The 10680-nt window shown below is 37.0% G+C and overlaps 1 annotated feature.

Annotated features, from left to right (window-relative positions):
- Nucleotides 367-968: an enhancer, noted in NCBI's record as "OCT4-NANOG hESC enhancer chr4:178112608-178113209 (GRCh37/hg19 assembly coordinates)". NCBI's record gives its function as "activates a minimal SCP1, AML or CMV promoter by ChIP-STARR-seq in primed H9 embryonic stem cells {active_cell/tissue: H9 hESC(primed)}" and the evidence as "EXISTENCE:reporter gene assay evidence [ECO:0000049][PMID:30033119]".

The following is a 10680-nucleotide window of genomic DNA, read 5'->3' as shown; positions in this document are numbered from 1 at the left end:
AAGAGCTGTAACACTCACCACGAGGGTCCGCGGCTTCATTCTTGAAGTCAGTGAGACCAAGAACCCACCAATTCCGGACACATTGGCAGGAGGCAGTTCATTAATCTTTCCAGCTAGACTGATGCTCTTTTGTATCCAGCAAGACTTTACCCAGCGGTCCTTTTCACACATTGCACAACAGACTACTTATAAAGATTCAGGACTCCAGACATCTTCTGTCTCCTAATGAAAGGGAAGCTTCGGCCTGAGACGGTGGGAGGCAGGAAAAGCCTCACTCCAGATAGCGGGACGACCACGTGGGACATGTTAAAATTACTCACTTGAGCTGGGAGTTCTTAGAGTACACTACTCAGGTAATAAATGTTGACCTAAAAGGAAGAGCCTGAAGCACAAAATGTGATTTAAAGAGTTTACTTGAGCCAAAGTGAGGACAGCTGCCTGGAAAACTCAGCCCCAAGTAACCTTGGATGTGAGCTCTATTTGGCTTTTATTATAGGCAGGTTTTTAATTCTAATAAAGGGATAGGGAGTTAGCTGATACAAAGTTCTGTCAGGAATGCTCATTGGTTTGAAGAAATCACACTGATTCTTGATTGGCTATGCATTGTTAAGCTATGGGGTGTGGGACATAGTGTCCCGGGAGCATTATTAGGTTAATGCATCTCTATCTGTGGCAATGGCAAGCAGTTTCAATAGATGAATACATAGCTGACAGTGGGGAGTAGGATGTGACTGCTGTCTCAGTTTAATGTCTCTCGGCCTAATAATTTGAAAGGGCTCACAATCCTCCGATAGAAGCTCTTTTCTTTCCTCCTCGAGTATCTCAGTGTCCATCTTTAGAGATCATCCTTAACAATAAAACTGGCTTTTTAACCTACTCCCTAATCACCAGTCATCCAACTTTGAGTTAATAATGCTAATTTCAGCCTCACTCCTGACTCTCGCACCCCACCACTCCCAGCCAGGAAATGCTTCTCTGTGTCCACGATGCCTTCCAGCATCTTCCTTACATGGTTATATTGCACTCCCTGTAATTACTCAGCACTCAGCAACTTGGTTGTGGCATACTCTGAAAAGCCTTCGACAAGCTACACAAGGGCTTGTGGAGCTTATGGATTCACCTCTAAGAAAGCAAAAAAACACACTTTCATCTCCACATGTTTACTCAGGTCTGTTCTTCCTTTCACAAGCAGTGGTGTTTCCTACTAGGATGTTTCCAAGTTCACCCTGTTAACAACAGAATTAGTTTAGTACTGGAGAGATTAATCATTAACCTTGGTGTCTCCACTTTCTGGCTCACAAATTTTAACTATGAAGTTAGAAATAAAATTAGATAAGGAAGGGCTCACAAATTTTAACTATGAAGTTAGAAATAAAATTAGATAAGGAAGATATCTAACATGTCTACTTTATTGTAAATGGTAGCAATTACATTTGTCACTTAACTCAATTTGCGAATATATTTTATCTAATGTAAACATATAGATCAAAGTTATATATATTATCAATTGGCTAATGTATCACCTCATTCTAAATAAAAAATTTAAGGACTTAGTGATTCAGATGTGCTATGTAATTGTCTTATCCCCATGGAAATAATATCAATTCATTCTCAACTATAATTTCATTTTTCTGAGATATATTCTAAATAAAAAACTTGGGAACAAAGGAAAAAAATGTTTGATGAAACTTTGAAATACATATCTGCAGAAACCTATGCATCCTACCAAGAACATATATTAACATTAATTCAGGTTGTATCTTCTGAGGACAAAAAGAAAACCTTATATAAAAAGGTACTTAGTAAATATGAGTTAATTTCAGTTGATAGCAGGTGTGAATTTTTAAAATGAATTGACAGTGTTCCTAGGACGATAAAGTCTGCAGCTATGTCTCGAGAAATAAATCCTTTTTGGGGCAATTATAATTCATAAATTTGAGTTTGTGAAGAACATTTTCATCCATTCTAAATCTTTGTTTTAATTACAAAAAGAAATCTTTATTTCTGATTAAGTAGTGTGCTCCTTATGCATATTTAACTCCAAGCTGAATCCAGATAACCTATTTAGAATAGTCTGCAGGAACCATCTTCACACATAGATGTTGCTGTTAGAGATTGCAATGTGCAGAGTGCTGGTTACAATAAAGTCTGATTAATTAACTTTTATTTTTTAATGATTCATATGTCAGAATGCAAGTCAATCAGAAAATTGCTTTTAGTAAAATTTTGCTACCAGATAATAAAATGAAGTCATTTTGAATCTACAAGACAGATACCGAATAACAATTAAGAACCCAATTTTCTTTGCTGAGTTGGATTTAAATAAAAATCTTCACTTAATCTTTGGAAGAGTAGCTCTTTGCTATTAATTAAATCTAGGATTTTTTGCTGTTGAAATCACCACAGTAGTTTAGGTTTTATTTTTGCAAGGCTATGAGAAATGTTATTGCTGCTTCAACACATATAGTACATGGCACATAAAAATGTATATCATGCTTTGTGAACAGAAACAAAAATTCTCAAGCATTAACAATTATATCAGTGGGAGTTTTCCCATTAAATTAAGCTTGGGGAAGGAAAAAATGTGTGCTGTAAACAAGAAAAATATTTCTCTTAAGACAGTTAAATGTTAACTAGGTGCATTAATCAAATTGTGATATAATGGCTGTGCAAAGTCAGCTATAAAGTGTTTTCCATTACTCTTCTACTTTCATATTAATTTTTTTGCAGTAAAAACCAACTACCATATATAGTAAAAGGAAAGAACCTACCTTGATGTATAATTTCCTTTTGAATCGAAGAACCTATAAAATTTGTGTGATAGAGAAAATTAATTGCAACTTTACCTTTTAGTGCAGAAAATCTTAGCACTTTGGATATCTGCCTGCTCTCTTTTTGAGGCCCAAAATATTTCTTACCCCCTGCCTTTTTTGGTTAATTTCTAGTGACAAATGCAGTGCCTGCGATATTTTCACAGCTCATTGTTGGAAGAAGGGAGGGAGGGAGGGAGGAGGAGGGAGGCAGGATGTCAGATAGTCTAATGTATTAGTAACCTCTTGGAAAAACTATTATATTTTGAAAAGTGTCAAAGAAATGTACTTTGAAGTTCACAATATTTAAATATCAGGAAAAGTGAACAATCTGGCGAATACACATCACCTTGCTTTTTTATTAATTTAACAAATGCATTTTAATCTATTTCTGGTTTTAATCTTGGGCAAGTTACAATATTTGTTAGTTTAAATTTCCTTATTTGAAAGACAATGGGATAAATAATCTTTACATTTTAATCCCACTCAAATTTTTAATACACTCTAGAAAAGAAGAACAGATTTAGGAGTGCAATGCAGATTGCTGTCTTTATGTTTTTATTGTTTGTGTTTTTATGTTGAATTGAAATATGCATATAAATGAGCTTATGAGAACTTTTAGCAACAAATAAGGTAACACTATCTTTCTACTGGTAGGAAGTGACTATGGTAGTAACAGTGTGAATGAAGGCAGTTGGGCCATGGAAATTCCATTTGCCACATCTAGAGAGGGCTTTGTAGTGGGGCCTCCTACCTATAGCATTTAGAAGCTCACATTCTTCTTTTTTAAGAAGCACTGTGGCCGGGCGCGGTGGCTCACGCCTGTAATCCCAGCACTTTGGGAGGCCGAGGCGGGCGGATCACGAGGTCAGGAGATCGAGACCATCCCGGCTAAAACGGTGAAACCCCGTCTCTACTAAAAATACAAAAAATTAGCCAGGCGTAGTGGCGGGCGCCTGTAGTCCCAGCTACTTGGGAGGCTGAGGCAGGAGAATGGCGTGAACCCGGGAGGCGGAGCTTGCAGTGAGCCGAGATCGCGCCACTGCACTCCAGCCTGGGCGACAGAGCGAGACTCCGTCTCAAAAAAAAAAAAAAAAAAAAAGCACTGTGTGAACAATAGCAAATTAGTCCAGTTTCTTTTCCTTTAATGTTAGAACATGAGAGCTTTGGAGAAAGCATTTCATCCCTGGGTTCATGGAAATTTTTTTTTTAAGTACTGGTATGTAATGGACCTTTTAGTTATATACAAGCACACTGATAGGACAATGTTTTTGGTCAGGGGGCATTTCCAGGTAGGAGAAAAGTTCAATCATATGGCAGTTCAGTTTTAGTTTGCAGTATGTATCTATATAAAGTAATTTAAAAGATGACAATCAAGCCAAAACAGTTCGAGACTTTATAGGGACTTGGAAAATTAAAATTAACTTGTGAAAAAAAATCATAAAATTATCATAACTGATTTCAGAAATGTACTGAAAGAAACATAGTTTGGGTGTACAATTAAATTACATAGGAATTAAATAAAATTCCAAAATAACATTAAGGAGCAACTTATTTGGCTATTTTGAAACATCTGATTAGTTAGCTTGCTGACTGGATTTGCTCTTTTTTTTTTTTGAGATGGAGTCTTGCTCAGTTTCCCAGACTGGAGTGCAGTGGCCCAAACTCGGCTCATTGCAACCTCCGCCTCCCAGGTTCAAGTCATTCTCCTGCCTCAGCCTCCCAAGTAGCTGGGACTACAGATGCGCACCAGCATGCCCGGCTAATTTTTGTATTTTTAGTAGAGACAGGGTTTCACCATGTTGGCCAGGCTCATCTCAAACTCCTGACCTCAGGTGATCCACTTGCCTTGGTCTCCCAAAGTGCTGAGATTACAGGCTGCTCTCTTTTTAAAATACAGTATACATTCAAAGTAAACCTTCTTTCAGAAGAGGTATACTTTCTAGTCAAAAGATTGCAGGAGCCAGATGTCTGAGAACACAATTTAGAATTTCGAAGTTTCTTGAAGGCAGATCATATACACTGAACTTTCCACATGCCCACTAGCTCAGCACTGAGCTCACAAATGCTAAGAGTTCTTTGTTTTGATTTGCTTAAGAATTTGAATATATTATCTGCAAAAATTGTTGATACAAAATGTCCTAACGTTTTTCAAGCCATAATTTATTATTCCTTATATAAATCAGAATGTGAGGCTCACAATTGTTGTTTGCCAGAGTTCAAATATTTTAAAAAGATCCTTTTTGAGAAAATATTTTATTTTCAAGCAGCCTGTGGTCAGCCTCATATGGAAGTGGGACGGCTCCCAGGACCAGTAATTTGTCAAGTGCCAAACCACATACAATAGATATAATTCTGCCTTCTGACAGCCTCATATTTAAGCACATGGATCTCATGTCAGAATATGTAAACCTGAATTGAATACGAACCAGGACTTCCTGAAATTCTATTTGAGACATAATGTATTAAAAGAAAATCATCTAGGATCTGTCAACTCTGTGTTTTCCTAGGTTTTCTCATTTTTGTCATCAGAAAGCAATACACCTAGAACATTTCTCATGATCTTACAGATATGTCTAAACTACCTTAATTTTGCCATGTTGCAAAAATTAGCAAAGAGTATTATAAAATTTTTATCTTAGGGAACACGTGTGTTCTCACATAACTTCCCAAGCTCTCTATTTTACTTTTTGCAGACCAAAACCAAATAGAGAAATGAGCTGTCCTTTAAAATCATTCATGTTATAATTAGTCAAGCCCAAGTAAAGATAGAGTTGGGGAGGAGGGATAAGCTAGCAGTGATGGTCCTTGCTATACCCTTCATTGATTGATTCAATAAATCACTTTTCTGTATCTACTGGTATCAGACTTGGTGCTAGGCCCTAGCAGCACATTGGTGAACAAGATAGACTGCTGGGGCAAATAGCACTGACTGTTTCTTGAGCTGGGGATGGTCATTGATTAGGGAAGATATGAGCCCCACGGCTGGCCAATGACATATGATATAACCCGAAGTGAAATGCTCTCTCCATTAGTGGCAAAAGATAATTGTCTTTTTTTTTTTTTTTTTTTGAGATGGAGTTTCACTCTTGTCACCCAGGCTATAGTGCAATGGCACAGTCTTGGCTCACTGCAACCTCCGCCTCCCAGGTTCAAGCAATTCTCCTTTCTCAGCCTCTGAGTAGCTGGGATTACAGGTACCCACCACCATGCCTGGCTGATTTTTGTATTTTTAGTAGAGATGGGGTTTCACAATGTTGACCAGGCTGGTCTCGAACTGCTGACCTCAGGTGATCCGCCTGCCTCAGCCTTCCAAAGTGCTGGGATTACAGGCGTGAGCCACTGTGCCCGACCAGCCAATAATTGCCTTTTTAAACTGCGATACCTAATTTGAAGTATAGAACAGTGAAAGCAATTCAAGTCACTATGTTCTTAGTTCTTCCAAGGATGGTATGAAGCTTAGTACCATTGTAGATGTATACATGAGAAATTAAGTCATTGCTTACAATGTACGTCTTTGGCCATTAGAATTTAATTTTATCATGAAACCCCAATTGAGGAATTTAAATGAGAAAATATGAAGTTATCCAAAAGATAACTGGAAAATGGTAATCAAAATTAGAACTGAAACAGAAAGATCGCTTACTATGGTCAGGCACTGTTCTAAATGCAATATATGCATTAACTCATTTAATCCTAGGATGTGGCTTTATTATGATCCCACTTATTGACAGAGAAACCAAACCACAAAGTGGTTAAGTACCTTGCACGATGTCACACAGTTAATAAGTGGTGATACTGGGATTCACACCCAGGCAGTGTGGATTCAGAGCCTGAGGTAGGACCTGAAGGGTGGCTTAGCCATGTTGATAGAAGGACTGGGACTTAGTCACAGTGTTGGGTGCATGATCTCCCTTGACCCTGAGTGTCTCTGAATGAGTCTGCAAGGAATGCAAGGTCCTGGCTACTCTCTACCTGGACCATCTCTCATGGTGGTATTTGTAATGAGCAGCTTTGAGGAATGAGAGAATTTCTCCCTCCATCTATAGAGCAGGCTTGCCTCCTCTTACTAGAAAAGTACAGCGTTCCCGTTTTGGAATGCAGCTCACTGACTGTTTCTTGAGCTGGGGATGATCATTGATTAGGGAAGGTATGAGCCTAGGTATTGTTCTGTAGAATGGGGCAGAGGTGGAGGGGAGAAAGAAACCAGTGCAAACCAGCATGAAGCTCTGACAAATGCTTTTGCATTGAGTAATACAAATCTTTTGTTACTGGCTCAGGAGTCTCATGCCTTCTGCTAGCATCTATGAAACAATAACAGGCTAGCTTGTTAACTTGCAAGAAGAGTAATGCACAGTTTCTGGCACACAGGCAACAGAGTTGAGTTGCAGAGCAGGACTCTGGGCACCCTTGAGCTCTCCTTCCCTATCCACTGTCTGGGCACCCTTGAGATCTCCTTTCCTATCCACTGTCTATTAGTTTGAGGGAGAAAGATCACGATTCTTAGGAATATAGTCAGAGACAGATACAAAAGGTACAGAGTAAAAAAGAAGACAACACAGGCAAGGGAAACTTCCTTTCTTTCTTTCTTTCTTTCTTTCTTTCTTTCTTTCTTTCTTTCTTTCTTTCTTTTTCTTTCTTTTTCTTTCTTTCTTTCTCTTTCTTTCTCTTTCTTTCTTTCTTTCTTTCTTTCTTTCTTTCTTTCTTTCTTTCTCTTTTCTTTCTTTCTTTCCTTTCTTTCTTTTCTTTCCTCCCTTCCCTCCCTTCCCTTCCTTTTCTTTCCCTTACAAAATCCACACTGGAGAGGTAAACATTTCTAAAGTGGCTCTATTGCATGTAAACACAGTAAAAAGAACACAGGAAGTTTGTGTGTCTCCATTTTTAGCTCTTGGCAAAAGTCAAATTCATCTTAAACATTTTTTCTATTGCCTCTTATTTTCTTTTCTTTTTATTCTCTATCTATACCTCATTTTTCATCAGAAAGCTTGTGATAATATAATACTAATTTTTCCTCTTGTTTTATAGAATCATGCAGAAACCTTGATAATCTGTAATGAAGTTACATTTTGTAGATAGATTTCTCTCTCTAATGTGAGTTTATGTAGTCCATTGTAAGGTATTAACATTTTGCTAACTCTATTACACTTCATATGTTAAGATATCTTTAATTTCTCTACAATATAACATTAAAAAACAGCACACAGTCATTCAATTAACCTCAGAATTCTTTCATTGAATCCCTACTGTGTGCAGTGCATGAAGTACTTTCTTCTTTTTTTGAGCCTTATCTTGACTTTTTAAATTAACTCAAAATGATTGCAAATGTTTTTGGAGTTTTCTCAAGCCTCCAAGACTGGCAAAATGTTACAAATGTTAACATTTTTTTCTTATAATAATAATAATTCACAAACACTTGAGAAAAGTTGATGGGCTTTCCAGGAAAAGGCATTTTTGTGGTTGAAACCAAATATGGGACTATAATTTTGGGGTAAATTTTCAGTTAGTGAAAAAGTATCAATGTTAACTTTCCCATTAGATTTCTGTAACACATACTTCAATTAATATAAATTGAGATTTTCAATGGATAAAACCTACTTCTAAAAGGAATTGCAACAATGTGGCTGGAAGTGGACTTCTGTCGTTTGAATAATTACTGCTTGTTATTGCCTGTATGTGTTATCTTCTTAAATAACTTTAGACACATAACCTCATAGGTTCTTTTTCAGGGAAACTTAATTTCACTCTACACACCCCACCTCCGTGTTACAGATGGGACATTTACATCAAAGTGGCTTTACATAGAGATGTGTCTCAATGAGTCAATCTAGAGTCCTGGATGTTATCCAGAATGGGTGATTGTCAGAATAGAATATTCTATAATTAATAGGTACATGTGAAAAATATATTCTAAACTCCCAGTTGCTCAATACTTATTAAAATTTGGTCAAGATTAAAATAGTTCCAGAGGATGGTTTGACAGTACTAAAATCTATCCTCAAGGTAGGAAATCATAGAATGATGTGTTTGAATTGCCTTTAATTGTAACTCCCCACACCAAACTGCACTTTTATTTGATACTATTCCTTGGTTTTAAAGAATAAAAAATTCACTTCTTGCATTTTTTTATTCATCTATTGATTCATTCACGTTTTTATTGAGTCAGAAATATGCTTGTTGATGGCAAAAATAACTGTAAACAAAAGTAGACAAGGAATTAAGTCTCCTGGAGCTAATGGTATAGAAGCAGACATTACTTAAGTAATCACACCAGTGAATGTAGAATTATGAACTTAAATGACTATTCTGGAGCAAAGATACCTGGTTCTCTGAGAGTCCATGAAAAAGAAACACAACTTCAACTGAGGAGTCCATTCTAATGCAGTTTGGAGAGGCATACAGGACTGGAACATATGGAGCCTTATATGTAACCTTATGGATTTTGGGTTTCCAAAAGCAATGGAAAACCACTTACAGAATTTAAGAATCAGGGCAACATCATTAGGTTTTAGCTTAGAATGATAGTATTGAGTAGAGAATGGAGAAAAGATTGGAATGGGCCCAAGTGGAGAGAGATGGGCTCTTAGTCTTGTGACTGTGATTCTTGTGGGGATATTATCAGGAACATGGCTTACTGCATTATGCAGTGTGATGTCTGTGAGGACTTAAGGGCAAATTGTCCCTCCTGACTCAGTACAAGGAATAGTTGACCTAATCTGGGTTACTGTTTGTTTTTATTTTATGAATACTACCAGTAATGCAACTGATTATGCTCTTGTATGCTCATGAGCTTTCAGAAAATCCAAAGCCAAGTTTGTGGCCCTCCTCAGAACTTTCAGAGTACTGGGCTCCAGGGGTTTGCATTCTGTGCCGCACTCATTCCTAGCTTTATCTTACTCTTCTAATTGATTCTCCTTTACCTTAATTCTTTTGCTTAATCTTAGTATTATTTCATACCCTTGTAACAAATGAGCATATAAATTATTTTAAAAAATCAGGAATACTATTATATTAAAATACATGTATTCCTACCTTACAAGCAATGTCTGAAACATAGGAATACACATTGACAATATGCCCAGCATACATAAGGGCTCTATTCAGACACTGGGGACAGAATGGAGTATGTGTGAAAACAATATTCGTTTGCATACTGAATTGGCACTTGAGAATTGTGACAGCTAACCTCTACGTTGCTGTGAACCATATTGCTTCAAGATGTGCAAAACTGGCAGGACCCTAAATTCCAGACATCATTCCCACTTGGCTTTGGAGCATGCTCATGGTATCTGGTATTGTGTAATGTTCTCTGGAATTCACAGAAGATTCTGCCTACTTCTAACCAGAGATACGGAAAAAAAAAAGATCTTATCTCATTTAGCACAGTGATAATGCGGTGTTTTAAATATATACAAGCTTATTTGAGATATGATACTTTTTTTAATGGTACTGTGCCTTAGATATTGTGATTTAGTAGCATGCAGAGTCAAGAAAAATAGATATTTAGAATCTGAAATGGAAACTTACAGTTTTGCTATTCTTTTTCAATAGAAGGATTTATTACATGTTTACCAGTTTCTCACTAATGACTATTTTAAGGCCTAGAACAAAGTAGTTGTTCTTTGAGATTAACTTTTATGAATACAGGTAAGATAAAGAGCAAATAAGATATTACATATTCAATTGGTACAGTCTTAGAACTCTAAAAGACTTTCATTAAATTATCAGTCTAATCCCTCAGTGGGTTGTCAAACTTAATGGTGGAACATAGGCAACAGAAAGTCATTTGAGTGGGAAGGGGATGTAGGTGAAAGCTCATCAAAGAAACCATTCTCCACTGTAATCAACAGTTCCTATATTTTCTTGCCTTTGG

The sequence above is a fragment of the Homo sapiens genome, chromosome 4 (genome assembly GCF_000001405.40).
Source record: "Homo sapiens chromosome 4, GRCh38.p14 Primary Assembly".
Classification (NCBI taxonomy): Eukaryota; Metazoa; Chordata; class Mammalia; order Primates; family Hominidae; genus Homo; species Homo sapiens.
The sequence above is the reverse complement of the archived record's forward strand: the minus strand, read 5'-3'. Positions and strand labels throughout refer to the sequence as shown.